At 46.8% G+C, this 19,940-nt stretch overlaps 1 protein-coding gene and 1 long non-coding RNA gene across 7 annotated transcripts in view, besides 2 other annotated features; one reads left to right on the top strand and one right to left on the bottom strand.

Moving 5' to 3' along the window:
* Positions 1 to 15,188, bottom strand: part of SMPD3 (sphingomyelin phosphodiesterase 3) — a 90,182-nt gene extending 74,994 nt beyond the window's left edge. For all 6 annotated transcript variants that reach the window (NM_018667.4, XM_011523207.2, XM_047434339.1 and 3 more), the window contains exon 1: positions 15,033 to 15,188. The gene's annotated coding sequence lies outside the window, so the exon portion shown is untranslated. The remainder of the gene's footprint in view (positions 1 to 15,032) is intronic.
* Positions 14,886 to 15,405: a silencer, noted in NCBI's record as "silent region_7646". NCBI's record gives its function as "represses an Ori minimal core promoter by ATAC-STARR-seq in GM12878 lymphoblastoid cells {active_cell/tissue: GM12878}" and the evidence as "EXISTENCE:reporter gene assay evidence [ECO:0000049][PMID:35858748]".
* Positions 15,506 to 15,555: an enhancer, noted in NCBI's record as "active region_11016". NCBI's record gives its function as "activates an Ori minimal core promoter by ATAC-STARR-seq in GM12878 lymphoblastoid cells {active_cell/tissue: GM12878}" and the evidence as "EXISTENCE:reporter gene assay evidence [ECO:0000049][PMID:35858748]".
* Positions 15,520 to 18,825, top strand: LOC124903705 (uncharacterized). Its single transcript, XR_007065097.1, has 2 exons — positions 15,520 to 15,746; positions 15,845 to 18,825. It is a non-coding gene; the product is annotated as an uncharacterized LOC124903705 (long non-coding RNA).
* The last annotated feature ends 1,115 nt before the right edge of the window (positions 18,826 to 19,940 follow it).

Raw genomic sequence — 19,940 nt, forward strand, 5'->3', positions numbered from 1 at the left:
GCCCGACCCTCATGTGTTCAGAGGGTCTGACTGCAGGCACATCTACCTGCATCTGTCATTCCTTCCCCACATATATGGAGTGATGTCCAGTCAGCAGGCTGATGTACACCTTTGATATTCTGTGTTGAGTTTGGGGCTAGAGATGAATTCAGGAGTCCATAGCACATAAGGGGGAGCTACATCCCTGTACAAGAGTGGGCGAGGTCACCAGGGCATGGCAGATGGGGTATGCAAGGAGACCAGGCTATGTCTTGGGACAACCACGTTGGAGCTGCCAGTGGAGTATGGAAGGGTGGAAAGGATGAGATAGGAGGAGTGGGAGCTGAGTTAGGAGAATGCAGTGCCCTGGGGCAGAGGATTTCAAGTAGGCAATGAGCTAGGAGGACCTGGACGAGCGAAGAAGCCCAGGCTGTGTGGGGTCTGCTGGGATTCCTATCTGCTGCCCTTGCTTGTTAATTTTTACCCAAACCCCATGAATATATGTTCTCAAATCTTGGAAATTCTAAACCCTATCTATGAGAATGAGTCTTACTCTTTTTTTTCTAGTTCATTTTTTTTTTTTAGGTCATGGAATATTATTTGATCATTAAAGAACACGGGAAGAAAAAGTGAAAAAAAGAAAAATTAAAAATGCCTAAATTTCAACCTTTCTAAACATACCATATGTTAACATTTTGGTCTATTTTCTTTCAGTGGCTTTTCAGTGGTTTAGGATTTTGAAAACTGCTATTATAATTATATTGTATACATAAATGTGTACTAAATTTAACACATGTTGCAGGCATGAATTTATGGCTTTTAAAACATGGCAAACATCATTCAGACTGGTACAAAGTTCAGTACCCACCTTTTAATTAAATTTTCATTATATTACTCCTTTCCGTTGTTATATATGTTTTGGTTATTTGAGGTCAGGTACTGAGAGAAGAATGTAAATTTATGCCCACAACTGTCATTTGGCCAGCTTCTTGTATTTCTAACGGTAACAAATTTTGCCTCATGTATTTCGATGCTAAAGTACTGAGTGTACAAATGTTCAGAACAGTTATGCTTTCACAATTGCTCCTATGAATATAAAATTACCCTTTTTATCCTGCTTGACACTGCTTATTGCCTTAAATTGTGCTTTGTCTGATATAGCCACTCACGCTTTTTCTTTTGTTTGCATTTACCTGGGATAGCTTTGCCTACCCTGGAGCCATTTAATTTTAGGTGAGTCTTCTGTATGAATTTAATCTAGAACCTTTGTCTTCTTACAAGGGAATGTTAAATGCTTACATTTATCGTCATAACCATTCCAGGTGGCCCCCTGTCATCTTGTTTTATGTTTTTTGCATTTCCTTTCTTTTCTGACTTTTGAGCCATAGCTGATGATTTCTTTTCTCTTTTGCAGTGATTTGGAAGGGAGACATCTTGTTTCTCACTCCACTGATCCGCGTTCTATTGCCTCCAATGAATGTTTTAATTTGACTCTGTGTTCGGTTTCTAAGCAGCTCTGCTTATCTCAGCTTGCCCTTCTCATCTCCTTTGGTGGAGGCGACATCCTCTGCAGAGTGGTTTTAAAGGCCCTATGTTGGTTTTTCTTTGTTTGCTAGCTCCAGGAAGGGAGTCCTGCATGCCTGGAGCAGGAGAGTGGCAGGCCACTCCTAGGAGGTGCCCCAGTGCTTCCTGCAAGATGAAGGGATTGTCCAGGCCACAGGGTGTGTGTGTTTGGCAATGGTGGGTGGGAGGCGTGGCAGAAAGTGTCATCACTACTACCTGTGTTTGGAAGCCCTTCCTTTTGGCTCCACTGGCCCTTGTTTGAGAAAGACAGCCCAGCAGATCTGGTCCCTGCTGGCAGGGATGAACTCTTTGCAGAGAGAGGGTTCTAGGGCTGAGGGACCAGAGTGAGGGTAGGTTGGGGGAAAGGGACCTGAGCTGGCCTTTGCCTAGAAAGGTGGGTCAGGGCCTATTGGTCTCAGCTGGGAAACTTCCTGGGCATACAAACTGTTTTAAAAAATCCTTTTAAAGACTTGTAAATGGAATTTCAGTGAGGGCTTTTTCAGTGCCTCCATTTGTCTACTCTCTTAACCAGGTATTGCTCTAATATATTGCATATTAAAACTCTCTACAGGGCAATTAGCAGCTTTAAGTGGTTTGTTTAAAATTAAACACTCTGGCATTTTTTTTTTCATTTATTCAAGTTGGTTGCTCCCCCGTATCCCCTAACACAGAGGTGCCAGTTCTGCCGAGGGCCACAGACAGGAAGGGCTGGGGCCTGGGAAAGGCACGGTGGGGGCTGGCTGGGGTGGGAGGGACATCCTGCCAGGGCCCAAGTTCTCCAGAGGGAGACACAGGCCAAGAAGGGCCTCATCTTCTGGGGGGCCTGAGGGGCAGGAGTGGGACTGGCCTGCTGTCAGTGATCCTCTGCCTGACTCGGACAAAGCTTTCCCAACAGTGGCCTCAGGGACAGGCCACAGGTCAGAAGACCACTGGTGAGAAGGAGGCAGGCAGTGTGTGCACTGGTCAGTGCTATGGCAGGGCCAGCCTGGCTACTGGGGAGGGTGGTGAAGCCAGTGGCACCTCAGGAGATCTAGACCATTTCCACTCTACACCAAAGTCTGCACCCCACAAACACCAAGTTCCTCTGGAACCAGAATCTTAGCTAATCCTCTGCGATCCCTTGGAACATTTCAGCTGGAATCAAGTGGTAGCATCACCAGGGTCCCAAAAAACAAGTGCCGAGGAGGTCTCAGGGCAAGGACAATCTCAGGCTTGGTCACTGGAGATCAAAGTCATTACTCTAACCTCCATGCTGCTCCACCCACATAGTCAAGATAGCCACTGCCAAACCCTCAGAGCACCAGATTAGGAAACTGAGGTCCAGAGACATAGGTGATATATCCAAGTTCATGCAATAGAACAATCTGAATTCCTTACAGCATCTAAAAGTATTCCAATACATTGGCTTTTCCCCTTCTATGTGTGTTGATATAAACCCTGTGACCCAGGTGCTACTGTCTGGACCCAACACACAAGAGCGTGCATGTGTGTGTGTGGTGTGTGTTCCCCCTGGTAGAATTATTCACTCCTCCCCCTGGTAGGATTATGCTTCCAGTGCTCTCTGCTCCTCCTTCCATATTACCACTTATCTTATCTCACTGCACTGTAATTATCTATCTCTGTCTTCCTTCTAGGACTTGAGTACCAAGCAGGGTCTTTGTGCTTTTCTTTGCACATAGTAGTAGGCACACAATGGATTTTGTTAAATGAATGTTGATGAATTCACAACGCTCCACTCACTACATATAGGTCACTATGGCTTGGCCTTATTAAATGTGCAATCCCATTATAATAAATTAATTTAAAATTATATTCTTCTGAAGGTTAACAGTGGAAAAACTGTACTTTGCTCAGCATACCATGCCTGTGGGACGGACACATGGCTGCTTGGACCACACTAATTCATGGTGCCCCTTGTGGCAGCATGCTCTAATTGCAGGCAAAGGGTCTCAAGAGCTTGTCTTTCAAATAAGGAATACAAAGGCAAATCATCCTCACCGACTGTATACGAGCTTCTGAAATACACCAGCCTTTGCCTCTACTCTGCTACCCCAGGTTCCACATACCAGGTCTGCTTAGACCTGGTGTGAGATAAGGTTGGCAGTATTTATAAGATCCCGACTTGCCTCACCTGTTGGGCTACATTAATTCCAGAGGCGTGAGGAAGCACCCAGAAGGGAATGTCATGAAGTGGCCATGTGCATTTGCACATTTTCTACACTGCATCTCTTGTTCTGTTTTAGAATTGACTACCTCCCTGAGGACAGGGACTGTATCTCATTCACTTCCATCTCTCCAGTGTCTGGCACAGGGTTCAACACAGAGTAGGAGCCAGTTGTGTGAGCAGGGCGTGAATACTTGGTCCTGGCTGATGAAGTTGCTCTGATGTAACCAAACAGCCCTACTTTCTGATGCACAGCCATTCCAAACATCCGTGCCTTTATTGTTATCATTCTGATTTCTCAACTTGATTTTGTTTTCCAGAAGTCACCATTCAACCCTGTCGAGTTCAGCATGTGCTGACACACATTGTTACTGGGGTCAATGGCCAGATGAGCCCTTAACATTTCATTTCCAAGTGTTTGTCATTTCTCATTAGTTATATGTTTATAATCACTAAGGTCTTATCCCTGGACAACTTGTCAAAATTGTTGTGGCCTTGCCCACCCTTGCACTCATCCTTCCAGAACTGTGGAGAGCATCTGGAATCCTAGCATGACTTTTCAAAGAAAACACAGTGATCTCTTTCATCCTCTATTATCTTGCACATCAAAACTCTTTACTCATCAAGAGACTCTCTCATAGCTGTGAAAGTTACCTCCTCACTGCCTTGCATCCTCCACAGAACTGCAGGTGCCTCTTGGAAGAAGTGCTGCATCTGTGCCCCTCTCCTTTCCTGCCTTTGTTTTCCATTGTCATTAGAAGCGTAGCCATGGAGAGAAATCTGGCGCAGAGTGCAACTGCAGCCATTAGAAAAGACATTTTCCTTCTAACCAGCCTAAGGAGGATGGGGTTTGGTTTTCAGCCCCTGCAGCCTACAGAGAAATAAGCAGAATGAATTCAAGATGGCAGGTCCAAAAAAATCTCCTTTTGTAAAACAAGCTGTTTGCACAGGAGCAGGTGACTGATGGGTGCTGCAACCAAAAAGGGATGTGGAATTTGCAATGACCCCAACTCAGGCCCTCCCAGCAGCCACCCTGGGAGGCAGCTGCTCAGGAGTGTCACTGGGAATCATGAACCAAAGGATACTATTGCCTGCCTCCCAGTGCACAGGGAGCAAATCTTCTGCCTCCTCCCTCACAGAGAAAGCCTCTCCTAAGCTTTGTGCTTGGGTTTGGGCACTGCAGCTGTTCTTGGCATCTGTGCTTCATGGCAGCCATTACTGCCTGCGACTTGACACAGGCAGGAATCCTTGTGGCAGACCTGCTACCCTTCTCCTGCCCAGGGCTTTTGTGAAGACCAAATGAGAGAAATAATGTAATTTATTTGAAAACCAAATAGTACTGGTAGGAATGCTCAACTGTGGTGCTACCTGGCAATACCCTCCAGAAGCTCTGGCTTTGAGACACTTGGTGAGCACACTCAACACTGCAACAAATTACCCAGATTCAGTGAGATGCCTCAAACTGATGGCCTCAGATTTCATATCCCTTTCTTTGCCTATGAGCTTTTTTGGTTCTCTAACACTTGTTAGTCTGACATTCAAGGCTTTCTCAACTCTTCTTTCCAAACATCTATTTCATATGGAAACTCTTCTCCATTTCAGTGCTCCCAAACATACCATTGTCATTCCTACCCCTGTTCATTTGATCACAACTTTCCCTTGCCTTCCTTCCCCATCCCACTCACCCCTCAGAGATTATCCATATTGTACCCATGCTTGAAGACCAAGCATAAGACTTCTCCACAAGTTGACCCACAAATCACCCTCCCTCCTTCAAAATAATAGTTACTGGGTTCTTGCTGATCTTGAACCAGAGAAGCAGTGATCTCAGTGGTTAAGAACAGGCTCTGCAGTCAGATTGCCTGGGTTGGGGTCCTGGTCCTCTTACTGTCTGCGTGACCTTAAGCAAGTTACTTAAAGTCCCTGAGCATTGCTTTCCTCAGCCGTAAAGTAAGGATAATAATGGTATTCTTTTACACATATGTATTGCTGAGCACAATGCCTGACCCACTGTAAACACTTGAACGAGGGTTAGTATTGTCTCTAAGCATTTTCATATATGTTGCCATGTAATTGCCATGGCGGGAAAAGTTAGTTTTATTGCCCCAGAGGAGAAAGATGAAGTCTGGAAAGGTTAAAGCACTTGCCCAAGGCCACACATTTGATGGTAAAAATGTGATTCAGACTCAAGTTTGGTTGGCATCCATAGCTTTTCCACTGCCATAGCCAACTTGCCTTAATCAGGACTCCTGTGGTTACTCCAGCCCCCGTTCCTTGGTTCACTCTGCATATGAGCATCTCTCCTCTCCCCAGCCAGACCCTGGTCTCCTCCTGGGGAAGGGTTCTCAAAACACCCCACTCTAGCTATCCATCATTTGGCATTTGTTGAATTAACAAAAGAAAGAATGAGTAGGAAAATGTGCATATTAACACCAGACTATCCCCAAATAACTTAGCACTGGTACTTGGTACCTGAAAGTCAGGGGCCTCCCAACAGAACCAGAGGTGAGCCTCCTTCCACCTCAATTCACCCGCTATGCTTTGAGTCAGGAAATCTGTGTTGCTCTCCTGCTAAAACATTTGAAGTGATCCTCACTTTTCCTGTAGGACTAATCTGAGTATTTTCTTTACAGTTCAACGTGCTCTGTTAACATAAGCCTTCACTGAGCTTAATACATATTTCTTTGGCTGTCTTCCTCCAGAAGGCAAACTTTTGGAAAAAAAGGTGATGGTTGAGAACAGCAACAATATGTGTTCCCTCAGAGCTATGCAGTGAATGGACCCATGGCCTGCCCTAGGAGTCAGGAGAAATGGCTCTGGGCTCTGGTTTCCAGATTTACGTTCTCTCTTTTTAAAAGCAAAGCTACTTGTAAAGTGCTGTAAACACCGAGGTCAGAACTTCAGGGTAAACATGATGGAGAACAATGCCCATTTTGCTACTTGCCTCATTATCCCAGGAAAGAGCCTCATGTGTGTTAATTGGACAGAGAAGAACATGAAAGATTGTGTAGAGTGTGCCCAAAGTTACTGATATCCTACGTTTTGGTGTAGACACACTTAATCAGGTGAAACTGTCCTTTCAATCTCCTCAGGCACTGAATAAGGATGGGGAATGACGCAGTAGAGTTGTAGAAAAGGCACTGAAGATTCTGAACAGCAAATTCTCTTTCTTTTTTTCATTGTTTTTTTGAGACGGTCTCATTCCAGTAGCCCAAGCTGGAGTACAGTGGTGCAATGTTGGCTCACTGCAGCCTCTACCTCCCATGCTCAGGTGATCCTCCCACCTCAGCCTCCTCCTGAGTAGCTGGGACTACAGGTGCACACCACCATGCCTGGCAAATATTTTGTATTTTTAGTAGAGATGGGGTTTCACCATGTTGCCCAGGCTGGTCTTGAACTCCTGGACTAAATAAATCCACTCGCCTCGACCTCTCAAAGTGCTGGGATTATAGGCGTGAGCCACTGCGCTTGGCCTGAACTGCAAATTCTATATTAAATAACAAAAAGTTCTCTATTAAAGAATACCTGAAATCCCATTTAGTCACAGCTGTCATTTGTTGAGTGCCTACTATGTACCTGATGTTTTATTTGTATTATCTAATTTAATCCTCACTACAACCTGCAACAGAGTTGGTACTATCTCCATTTTACAGAACAGAAAACTGAGACTCAGTGTCTTGTCAAAGGCCAATAAGTGGCAGAGTAGCTTTGACCTTGGGTATGTCTGATTCCTGTCCAGAATTTTTCTCCCAGAGCACAAGGTTGTCATTCCCCTGATTCCCCTGAGGAATCTGGGAGTCCAAGAGACTTAGAGCTCTTGAGTCATCTGGTACAATCATCCTCTTCCTCAACTCATTAGCTGAAGTCAAGACCTGTGCACAATGCAGTTAGCTAATTTGTTTATTCATTGTATGCTTATGTAAATGGATTGAAATCTTTCCTCGACATCATTATCTGCCAGAAAATAGGGGCCGCATACTTAGCAAGTGTTTTCAATCATGTTTTAACTAGTAATAAATCTTTTGCTTGATTTATCTGAAAATTGTCTGCTTGCTCTCCTTCCTGTTGCCCTTATCTTGTAACACTTCATAAGCTTCCTCCAATAGTAATAACAATAGTTAATATTAAGTGAACACTCACTCTGGACCTGTCAGTCACTGTTCTAAGTGATTTAGCTCAAAACCTAGGAGGTAGGCTTTATTATCACCTCATTCTGCAGGTGAGGAAACTAAGGCACAACTTGCTCAAGTTTATGCAGCCCAAATAGCAGAGCCAGGATTCAAATCCCAGGCTAATTGATTACAGACCTACTTTGCTAAATGCCTCAGTTTATAAAGAAAATATCCTCCTAAATGGAAACAGTCTAGAACAACACTGCCCAGTAGAAATATAATGTGAGTTATAAATGCAAGCCACATATACAATATAAATTTTCTAGTGGCCACATTATAAAAGTAAAAAGAAACAAGTGAAATTAATTTAAATATATTTTACTTAATATATCTAAAATATTATTTTAACCTGTAATCAATATTACCATTACTAATGCAACATTTTACATTTTTTATACTAATTTTTCAAAAGCTAGTGTATGTTTTATACTTATAGCACATCTTAATTGCCACTAGACATATTTCAAGTGCTTATGGCCCCATATTAGACAACAGATATATAGACAGACATTCTACTTTTCCTATTTTTTTCTATTATTTGTTTCTATTTCAACTTTATTTTAAAAATTTTTTAAATTAAAAAAAATTTTAGAATCTTGCTCTGTTGCCCAGGCTAGGGTGTGGTGGTACAATCATAGCTCATTGCAGCCTTGAACTCTTGGGCTCGAGCAATCCTCCCATCTCAGCCTCCCAAGTAGTTGGGACTACAGGCATTCACCACCATGCCTAGCTAATGTTTTTATTTTTTATAGAGACGGGGTCTCACTATGTTACCCAGGCTAGTCTTGAACTCTTGGCCTCAAGCAAGCCTCCTGCCTCAGCCTCCCAAAGTGTTGGGATTATAGGCATGAGCAACCGTGCCTGGGCTATTTCAACTTAAAATTTGGGTTTTGCATTGGTATTGGATCAAAGAAGCCTATGTTAACGGAAATGTATCCTTTGGGTAATTAAATGAACAGAGCAACAGTTTAGGACAGTGGAAAGAACATGCTTTAGGCATTAAAAAATCTGGGTTCTAAGCCCCATCTTAGAACCACTAACCAGGGCTGTGGCCAGAGCAGCCCTCAACTTCCCTCGCTGTCTTTCCTCATGTTAAAAAGACATGATGGTTTATGATTATTAATATCCTTTCCATTTCTAAAGCTCTTTCTGCTTACAGCACACATTATTTCAGGGTTTCTGTGTCTGTTTCCTTGTTCCGTTCAAGATTTCTATAAGAAAGGACTTATCCCACATTGTGGTTGTGTTCCCCGTGCCCAGCGCTGTGGCTGACACATTTTTGTAGGCACAAGAAATGTCTGTTGAATGAATGGAAATCCAGTCCTCCTTTGAGGGACTCCTGGGCCTCCCAGTTCTTGCCAGAATGATCACAACAGCCTTAGCAATTAATTGCACTTTCTCATATTGGCCTAAAATCTTAACAATCTAAGCTTTCTAAAGGGTTATAGCCAGGATTAGAAACCATTTCCTGATCCTGTGTGCAAAGGAGGTGGTACTCAGCCCTAGGTGTGGCTGCCTAGAGACCCCCACAAATGGCCTCCTTCTTATTACACGCTGTTCTGATGCTGAGGAGAGTTAATTAATGACTCTAAATAAGAAAACAATCAAATCTGTCTGCAGTCATATGAGTCAGAGCAGACCCAGATGGGGTGCCGGGTCCTTGGCTTCCAAGCGCCCTCGGGAAAAGCAGTAGCAGCCTTTGCTCCTTTCATCAGAGCTCTGCGAAGCCCCAGCTTGGAAGGGGAAGGAATCACTCAAAATGGAATGGAGACTCAGCTTGATATGAAGAATTTTTCTTAAAAGTCTAACCCCTTATCTGAGTGTTGTACAGACTGAGGCCCAGGGAGAGGAGAAAAAACATAAGTTCATTCCTTTCTACCCTCTTTAGACATCCAAATCGAATGGGGAGTTCTCAGAAACCGGCCCCTGTGTGTGTTGCAAGATTGGAGCAGTTGGAACTGCCACTTTAGGAGGACAAGACTTGTGGTCTGAAATTCACCAAACCCCAAACCTGCCCACCTTCTGGAGTCTTGCAGCCACATATGGAGGTAGAGCTTTGGTTGGGTGGCATAAGGACAGGAATGTGATGCTTTCCTGAGATTGGCTGAGGCCCACACAGTGAAAATTTTATTTAGGTGTTAGAGGCTTTGCTATGAAAATCTGAGAGTGCAAATAGGTGGAAGGAATCTCTTAACAATATCTGAGTGTCTTCAGCTTTGGAATAGGCTGCTAGGAAATAAAGATAAGCTCTATTTCTTTGGCTGTATGTGTACTCTTTGTCAAATAACAGCTTCCTCATGTTTTTTTTCCTTCCTTTCTTAAAAACGAAAAACAATGACAACACTTTGTTGCCATCTACGCTTGGCTTCCTGTGAAAATTTTCCACAGTGGAAAGAAACCCCTGGGCTACTGGTCATGAAGGTCATTATACTACCCTTTCCCCATTCTTTGGTAACCAAGTTCAGTTAACAAAGCTGGATAAGATATAAAGTAGGTGGCACTATCCTTGCTGAACTTGGAAAGACTGATTTGTGTCTAAATCCTAGTGGGTCCGCAATCCTATTCCTCTGGCATTTGATTATAAACTTACATAGAATAATCCAATAGTTCAGTTTTATTTCTGTAATAGCAATAGGGAAAAAACAGTGGTAAGGAGGAACTTCCAGAGTTTGAGATCCAGGATGGAACCTAAATTCTTCCCCTTCTGTGTAACCTTGGGAAAGCCCTCAAAGCTTGGTTTCCTCACCTTGAAAGTGGGAATTATGCCACCACCTACCTCACAGGACTGTGAGGATTAAATACATTCTTACATGTGAAGAGCCTGAGTCAGAAAATGTTTCCTCTTATTAGCTCATAATTCTTTAAACAGGGATTGCTGATGAGTTTGTTCGAAGTAATGCAGTAATATCCACCACAGCTCTGTTTCCTCCTATTCCATTCTGTAATCAGCTTTGGGGAAATCCTCTTGGAGGCCATGGCCCTCAGCTCTTGCTTCTGGTCCACACCCAGAAGTCCTCCCTTCCCACCAGGTGGGTGAGGCCAGCACTCCAGAACCTTGGACAGCTCTCCTCCACAGTGATCCAGCTGGCTGCCCCAGGGAGCAGGAGGGTCTTGGGAAATTTTCCGAGAAAAGCTGCATTAGTGCAGTGATTTAGGAATACCAGGGCTGCAGTCTCATTTCCAGCATGCATGCTGCCACTTGCATGCGTGTTCAGATTCTTCAACATGACCAGCCCTTCTGGAAATTTCTAAGGAGCCTCTCAGAACTGCTCACAAGATTTACCAAATCTTAGGGCCTTTTCCTTCTTTTCTATGAACTCCAAGAATTTTTTTTGAGCCCAAAAAGAACAGAAACACCACCCACATCTTCCTGAATCTGCTGATATTTAATTTGTTTGGCTTCAGTACAAGGATTAAACATTCTTGATTAACTTCAAGTGAAAGTAATAATGTATGAGCATGAGGAAATGTTTTACAAGACAAAGATACAGGTATAAATTAAAAGAAACATAAAATAACGTTATTGCCTGTAGGTGATGTTAAGCACCATTCTAATCAGGATAAGCAGGTGGTTCAATTTATGAGGCAATTTAGCTTTTCACTCTCCAATGCAGAATACAACACACCATATGCAGTCACCTTCCAAACAGGCAAGGAAGAGATTAAGTCCTATTTTTACTTTATGATACTGAGTCACATAGTTCAATGCAAATCACATGGATGCCAAAGTAAGAACAATACCAGGTATTAAAATACCTTCTTTCCTTTGCAGAGCTGCAGAGCTCTTAGGATTTTGTGACTGCAAGAAATTCCTTCAGAGTAACTCCAGGAGAAGAGACACATGTCACCAGATGGGTATTTAGGACTGAGCATGTCTTATCTCTCTCCCCCACTTCTGTCATTAGGCCTGGAAAGCCGTATTTGCAGCTTTTTGCATTTGGTAATAGCCTCCAGAAGCCTTCATTTTCTGGGCTACATTGTTTTTGAGGAAAAGAGGGCTTGCCTTTGAAAAATGTTATTGACTAATTTAATAATGACAGAAAGAAGAGGATAAATGTGGAACAGGGAAAGAGGAGAAAAGAGTAGTAGAGGTAGAGGTAGAGACAGGAGATGCCTAAATCTCTTTGGCCTTGATAAGTGTTTTCCATGCATTGTCCTTATAAATGGGTTTGATGCCCACCTTCCACTGGTCAGAAACTTGAACAAAGACCTTCAAGCCCTCTTTAAACATTTCCATAGAGGTGAAGACAGCAGCAATTCCATGGCTTGAACTAGCTTGAAAGAACTTCAGACAAGAACATCAACTCAACACTCTGAAGGTAGGAGGGAGCCCCCCAATAGAAAGATTTGTGATTTTACCTGACAATGCTCACACTCACTCTGAGCCTCTACACCATGGGGGAGTGTTAGTTGCCAAATTGTGACTGGTTTAACCTCTTTCCAGCAGAGGTCGCTGTGGACACTGGGAGTGGATACTTGTGGGAACTGGATCAGGCAGCCTGGGCTAGATAGATGGTGGCTACATTGTGTAGTACTTGCTCTTTCTGTTGTTCTCCTGGCCATCATCTGGTCTCTCATCCTATGGGAAGTAGATCTCTGTGAAGATTATCTCAAAGCTGCACAGTACCTTTGCTATGCAAGTGCTGTGAAATCAGGGTCACTTATTGGGGAGGGCAGGTCTGGGAGGGGCATGCTTATCCTCTAGGGGTATCACCTTGTAGTGTATGTCTGTGTTACCCTTGTTTCCTCTCTGAGGAAACAGTATTTCTGAGACACCTAGTATTTCTGAGACACTGCCTGTGACTGACCAGCAACGTCAGCGCCATGCCCTTCCAGACATGGAGGCCAAAGTGACAAAAGTTGCCTTGCAACGTAGTCCTGCACCCACATCATAAGTGACTCTGTTGATGAGTCCCCTGCCAAGCCTCACTTGGAAACACATGGTGGTGGTGAGGGGGCAGAATTCTGGTCTTTGGAGCAGCCTATTACAGTAGGATAAAGCTTCTGATAAAATGGGAAGGGCAGGGCACTGGTGAGTATGTCAGGGTCAGACCTGAGACCTCAGAAGGGCTGAAGAAGGCTCCACATAGTTGTGAATTCCCCACTTACTGGGCCTTTCGCAGGCCAGGCAGGCTAGGCACAAAGCAACCTGAAGCTACCTTCACCCTGAGGGCATCCACTCGGACCCTAGGTCATTGCTGTGGCTTGAGAGTTAAAGATGTGACTACCCTGCTCCCCACCCCCACAACATCCAAGCCCATCAGTAAATGAGTAAGTGGTTCATCTACACACACACACACACACACACACACACACACACACAGCCCGAAGCGCAAGCTCTGGCCGTGCCACACACATGAAGACTGAAACACACATGGGTACATTCATCTAGTCACACACATTCACACCCACACTCTGACCCACACCATCATCCATGCAAACCCTCACACACTTAAACACATCCCCTCCCCAGAACCAAATTTGACCTAACATGGCTGATGGGGCGTGGGAGGGTCCAGTCAGGATGTCCCTCTGGACCCTGGCCCACTCACGCCCTGTGAACTCCAGGCCCCTTGCTCAAGGTGGAGCCCCCACCTGTCCCTGTCCTAGTGGTCACAGGTCCTGAACACCCCCACTCTCGGCCCCCGAAGGGGCCCTGGTCACCATCGCGTGCACAGAATCCTGGGTGCCTGGCTGGCCTTAGGGTAGGGGGTATGGGAAAAGGGAAAGATGTGGGGGCATAGTGCCCTGCCCTGGCTCAGCCGCCTCCTCCCTCGGGATTTTCCATCCCGGCTCGCGCGGGCCCGCTAGAAGCCGGTGCGCTTTGTCTCCCGCCCCGCTCCTGGCACGTTTCCGTGGAAGCTGCCCGCGCCGCGCCCGAAGCCCCCCCTCCGCGGCCGCGCCCCCCGCCCAGCCCGCGGCGCAGGCCTGCCAGTGCGGCGACCGCCGCTTTGTCCTCTCGAGGATGCCTGGGCCGAGCGCGAAAGCCCCATGCCTTGGAACAGCCACCGCGCGTCCTGGAAGCAGGTCCCCGAGCCTCGGTTTGGGGTGCGCCCTGCATCGGAGCGGAGCAGCCCCCAAAGATTCGCGGGCACGAGGTTGGGGGTAGCGTCTACCTGGAGCTCTTGAGTGCTTGAGGGGAGACCCGCCCCGTCCCGCTCTGTACATGCCCATCTGGGATTGGCCCCCAGCTGCGGTGCCAGAGGCTCGGTCCCCGGGGCGTGGTGGGCTAGGGCGGGTCGTCTCGACTTAGAGCCCCAGGCCTGGATCCAGGTAGGGAGGGCCTGGGAGATAAGGCCCAGGTGGGGAGAGGTGGGGAGGGGTCCCTCCTGTCCTCGTACATCCCCCTACACTACCTCTCACACCCAGGCCACCCAACCCTCGGCGCGGGCCCGAGCGCGGGGGATTCCGAGTGTCAGTGCTTTCCTCCACCCGCGACTCCGAGAAGGATGGGGAGGGGTCTCCCAGCGTTTCCCTGCCACATTCCAATTCCACCCTTCACCAGTAACCTAGGAGGGTCCAAGTGGGAGGGGTAAGAGTCCTCTGTCTCTTCCACATCCTCGATCCTCCTCTTTACAAAACCCTAGGGCCAAGGGAGGAGGGGGGAATAGGGAGGGGGGCGAGTGTGGAGGAAGGGGCCTGGGCAAGGGTCTTCCCTGCATCCCAAGCAGCCCTTCCTGAATACCCCTGGGAGGGTCTGGGCTAGGGGAGCGGTCCGCGATCTCATCCATCACCACCAGACTCCTTTGTAACCTCGAGCAGCCGAAGTGTTGCGGGGAGGGGTCCCCCTGCCTCGAGTCCCTTCATCCCACAACACCTCATCCTCCCGTCCTGAGTAATCCGAGCAGCCCCGTCGCCAGGCACAGCGGGAGGGAGGGTCCAAGCCTCCTCGCTCTCCCAGGAGAGATGGGGGGTGGGGGTGACCCCCAGCCCTCGCCCCTCATACCCAAGAGCCTTCTCCATGATAAAACGAAAACTAACCCAAGCTGCTCCGACCTCCGGCGCCCGGCCACGGGAGGCCCCTAGTCAGTCGGCGGCTGTCCGGGACCCGCGGTCCTGAGAGCAACGAGAACACGTCCCGTCAACTCCCCAGCCCCTCACGCCTCGGTTCGCCCGCTCCCCAAGAAAACAAAAGCGAATTCAGCAGCACTGACCTCTGACGGCGGGCGGGAGGGCGGTCAGCGCCCGGCAGCGCACCCCGCTCCTCCCGGCTCCTCACAGCCCGGGCTCCCGGCCGCAGATCTGGCGGCGGCCGCAGCGGCGGCGGCTCTCGCGGCTCTCGGGTCCGGAGCCTCCCTCAGACTCAGCACCTGGAGCGGCGAACAGCTCCGCGCTTCATTCCTCTGACCCCGCCTCCCTCGCGCCGCCGGAGCCAATGGTGACCCGGACCCCGCCCAGGAGTCTGCCCATTGGGGGCGTCCTCCCCTCTCCCTCCGGCCCCGCCCGCAGGTTCCTGGGTCTCTCCTTCAAGACCACATCCCCCAGAGACCGGCGGAGTTTCGCACAGCCTTCTGGGACTTATAGTTCTTTAAGGACGCGGAGTGGGCTCACGCCGCGGGTAGGCAAACAGAGCGGGACTGCATTTCCCAGAGTGCACTGAAGACACGGAGGCGCGGAGCAGGGCGGGAGGACCGTTTCCATAGCAAAGACGACCAGCCGAGGATGGCTGGCGGAGGCGTGGGGCAGGCCGCAGGACCCTCGAAGGATCGTGTGAGACCCCGGGCAGCCTCTTGGGAGGCCATTTCGAGGAGAAAACCTTGATTTCTGCCTCAGGACCCTGGGCCTCAGTTTTCCTATCTGAGAAGAAGGGCGAAGAGCTGTGCCCCCGACCACACCCGTCGGTGATGGGGCAAACCGAGGGCAAGCAGGTTTGGTTCCTGCCCAGCAAAGGTGAGGGAGGACGGAGGAGACTCTCCCACCGCATTCAGAACTTTATTCCTTTATTTTTGTCTCAATCTTGTCATAGAGGAGCGCTTCACTTTTGGTCATCCCTTGGGCCACCAGGGCCTTCCCGTCTCCGTCTTCCCATCGCAGGTCCTGGCCTCCTTCACACCACTCCAGGATACCGCAGCATCTCCCCCAGCGCAGCAGACGGAGGGCGCTTCACATGCCCCCGGACCTAAGCCCACTCTCCCCTTCAAGATCTGGACTCCACTTTTTTGCAACACTCTTAACTTCTTTGGAAGCTGGGAAGCCTCCTACTCCCTTGGGCCTCTCCACCCTGCCCTCAGCTAACTCGTCGGCAAGCCCCAGCCTAGACATTGCCTGTTTTGTGAAGACATCTAGATGCTGGGCTGTCTGTTGAGTGCCCCACCCTGTGTTTGAGCAGCACCCTCTACTTCCCCTGTTCTACTTGCATGTTTATGTGCTCGTCTTCCTCATTATAAGATCCACAGGGGAGGGGCCATGTCTATATTATTCATACTTACAGTCCAGTGTCTAGTATCTGGCACGTAGTAGGCACTCACTAGCTATTGAGATATAAATATAGATATTTGTTGAATTGAAAATGAATTGGGCCGGGCGTGGTGGCTCACGCCTGTAATCCCAGAACTTTGGGAGGCCGAGGCAGGTGGATCACTAGGTCAGGAGTTCGAGACAAGTCTGACCAAAATGGTGAAACCCAGTCTCTACTAAAAATACAAAAATTAGCTGGGCGTGGTGGCACGTGCCTGTAATCCCAGCTATTCAGGAGGCTGAGGCGGGAGAATCGCTTGAACCCCGGGAGGTGGAGGTTGCAGTGAGTCGAGATTGCACCACTACACTCCAGCCTGGACAACAGAGTGAGACCCTGTCTCAAAAAAAAAAAAAAAAAAAGAGAAAAAGAATAAAATTAAAAAAAAGAAAATAAAGGAACCTCATTCACATACACCTCCAAAACTCTGATTTCCTAAAGTTGGGCATTTCTCATTGCTGGAGGTGTTCAGTTAGAGGCATGCCGCCCCCTTGAAGAAATGTTTATTTCATTTGTACAGTGGGTTGGGATTTTACCTGAATGCTTTGAGTACCCTTTTAATCCTATGATGCTAGAGATTGATAGACCCATGCCTATTATTCCTGTCAGTTCTCCCTGAAATGTCATCAGTTCTTCATGTTCCGCTATTTCTAGCTGTTGGCCCTACTCGTTTCTGTGCCTAAATGCCCTACCTCCCACTCCTTTTCTGAGAAAGATCTTCTGCCCTGTCAGTTATGAAGTAAAGATGTCCTAAGATTCCTGCTCTTTCTTTTTTCTTTCTTTCTTTCTCTCTCTTTTTTTTTTTTTTCGACGGAGTTTCGCTCTTGTTGCCTGGAGTGCAATGGCTGGAGTGCAATGGCGCGATCTCAGCTCACTGCAGCCTCTGCCACCTAGGCCCACCTTGGTCTCCCCAAGTGCTGGCATTACAGGTGTGAGCCACTGTGCCCGGCCTCCTGCTCTTCTTTCAACCCTCTGCTCAGCATCTTAGGCCTCATTGGTGATGTCCCACCTTGCTAGGTAGCATCTTTCCTGAATATTTCTCCACTAAACATTCTGATGTTGGCTAGATGGCCTAGTTAATCTACACATTTCATTTTATCACCTTCTCCAGATGTTTTTTTGTGTATGTCAGCTGATACACTCTGGGGAGAATGCCTTAATATATGGGAATAATTAACTCATGGCCAAGAAGGAAATAACCAAGGGGACTTTTACTCTGGACCTAATTCAAACCAAAGAGACAGAGCCTGAGAGAAAGCAGCTCTGTCATCCTTGAGTTAGTAACATCCAGGAAGGGAAGGCTAGGGTGGGGGAGTGAGTAAAACAGATGGCATTTAGGGAAGAACCAACAGGACTTTAAGAGGCATGGCAGAGGGGCTTTGATCCTGGCTAAACCATCAGGGAAGGCAATTGGAGCTGGGTGAACAGATGGGGTCTTATTACTGAAGAGAAAACGGTAAGGAGGCAGGGGGAAATGGGACGTGTGCTAAAGCAGAGTGCCTCATTCAGTGGATGCAGTGAGAGCAGAGGCTGTTGGAAAAGTGGATCAGGGAGGACCATGCCACCAGGTGGGCATCAGCAGAGTATCACCCGAGTATTGCAGAGGGATACCAAATAAGTCCACCTGAAGCCAGAGCTGAAACCCTGTGGAGGTCCGTTTACCCCTTCAGAAGTAGTGTACCACCATCCATCTACCACTGGAATCCAATTTCAGTTTTGGCAAATTGTTATAAATAGGAAAAAGTCAGGGTTCCACAATTCTGGCAGCACCCAGAGACTATAACAGCATCTGCACAGCCAAGTAGAGTTAGGAAACCTGGATCCTAATCCTGACTTTGCCTCTGATTAGATGTGTGATCCTGGGCTGGAGCTGTTTTTTCAGTTGTAAAATGCTGTTTATTGGTGTTAGGTAGCAGCTAATAAGGCTGGAGGTGGGGCTGGGTGTAGTGGCTCACACATGTAATCTCAGCAGTTTGACAGGCCAAGGCAGGAGGATTGCTGGAGGCCAGGGATTTGAGACCAGCTTGGGCTACATAGTGAGACTCTGCCTGTACTAAAAATTAAAAAAAAAAAAAATAACTCAGTGCAGTGGCGCATGCCTGTAGTCCCAGCTACTCAGGAGGTTGGGGTGGGAGGGTTGCTTGAGCCCAGGAGTTTGAGGCTGCAGTGAACTATGATCAATCACACCACTGCATTCTAGTAGCCTGAGTGACAGAGCAAGACCTGTCTCTAAAAAAAAAGAAATTTTTTTTAAGGGTGGAGGTAGGGAAATTCAAAGCTACTTACTAGCTGTGTGACCTTGCCTAAACTACCTCCTTGGATTTGCAGTCTGTTTATTTGAAAATGTCATAAGGGATAAATGAGATTCCTTATGTAAAGTACTTTATAAATATTAAGCACTTACCAAATGTTAGTCTGTTTTCACATTATTCTTCTTGGATTACCAGAAATTGGTTTGACCATGAATAAACAGGAGATAATTTCTTGGGTAATCTGAGTTTGAATCCCCTTTCTCTCTCTTACTAATTGTATGACTTTGATTAGGTTATTTAATATTTAATTGTTCTGGGTCTCAGTTTTCTCATTTGTGAAATTAAAATGTGTTCTTCAGAATTGTGAGGGTTAAATGTGATAAAAGGCCTGACTCATATGAGAAAATGCTCAATATATTTGTTTTGTCATTTTTAAGGGGTGGTTTTAGGGCACAGAACCCTAAAGGAATGAATGGAATTCTAAATACTTCGAAGCTAGAGTAGTGAAAGATTCCAGGGGAACACAGTGCTGGCCTTCTCCCTTCTTCTTGGGGAAGAAAAGATCTCAGTGAAGTTCCATGGGTCTTCTCAGTAAGTAAAGAGGAGATTAACTAGAATGCTGAATCTCAGACACTGAGGGGTTAGAGTGATTGACCAGGGCTGGGTCCTGAAGAGCTTGGTATTCTAGGCTGAGAATATAATTTTATTCTAAAGCTAATGAAGGTTTTTAGGGAGATGTGCATTTTGAAAAGGTCTAGGGGCTGCTTGGAGAATGGCCAGGAGAAGATGAGGCTGGGATGTGGATCGGGAAGGTGCTGCGGTGATCCAGCATGGTGAGTGGAAAAGAGGGGGTAGATCTGAGAGATAGTTTTATATTTATTTATTTGTTTGTTCTTTAAATATTAATAGTTCATCAAGTTTCCCATCTTTTTTAAGTAGCTCATCACAGAGTTATTAAGAAGGTAAATATTCCGAGGACTTTGTGAATGAGAGCTGAGGGCGTGGAGGAAACTAGTAAAAGTCAAAGATGATGCTTAGGTGTCTGCCTTGGGTAACTAGGGGATGGATGGGGGTGCTATCCCCTGAGATGTGACACAGTAAAGGAGCAAGTTTAGGCAGGAAGAGAAGTAGGTAAGTTTGAATTGGGTGTGATATGTCCAAACAAGATGTCTAGGAGGTGGTTCGGAGCTTATGAGAGGGATCTGGTTAAGGGATAGAGTCATAAATTATCAAATTATCACCATATAGATCATAATTGAAGCCATGGGAATGAATGGATCCTTCAGTAGAGAGGGTCAAAGAAATGAACAAAATTCCTTGGGAAATACCATCATTTAGGGGGCAAGTAGAGAAAG

The sequence above is a fragment of the Homo sapiens genome, chromosome 16 (assembly GCF_000001405.40).
Source record: "Homo sapiens chromosome 16, GRCh38.p14 Primary Assembly".
In the NCBI taxonomy this organism is placed as follows: domain Eukaryota; kingdom Metazoa; phylum Chordata; class Mammalia; order Primates; family Hominidae; genus Homo; species Homo sapiens.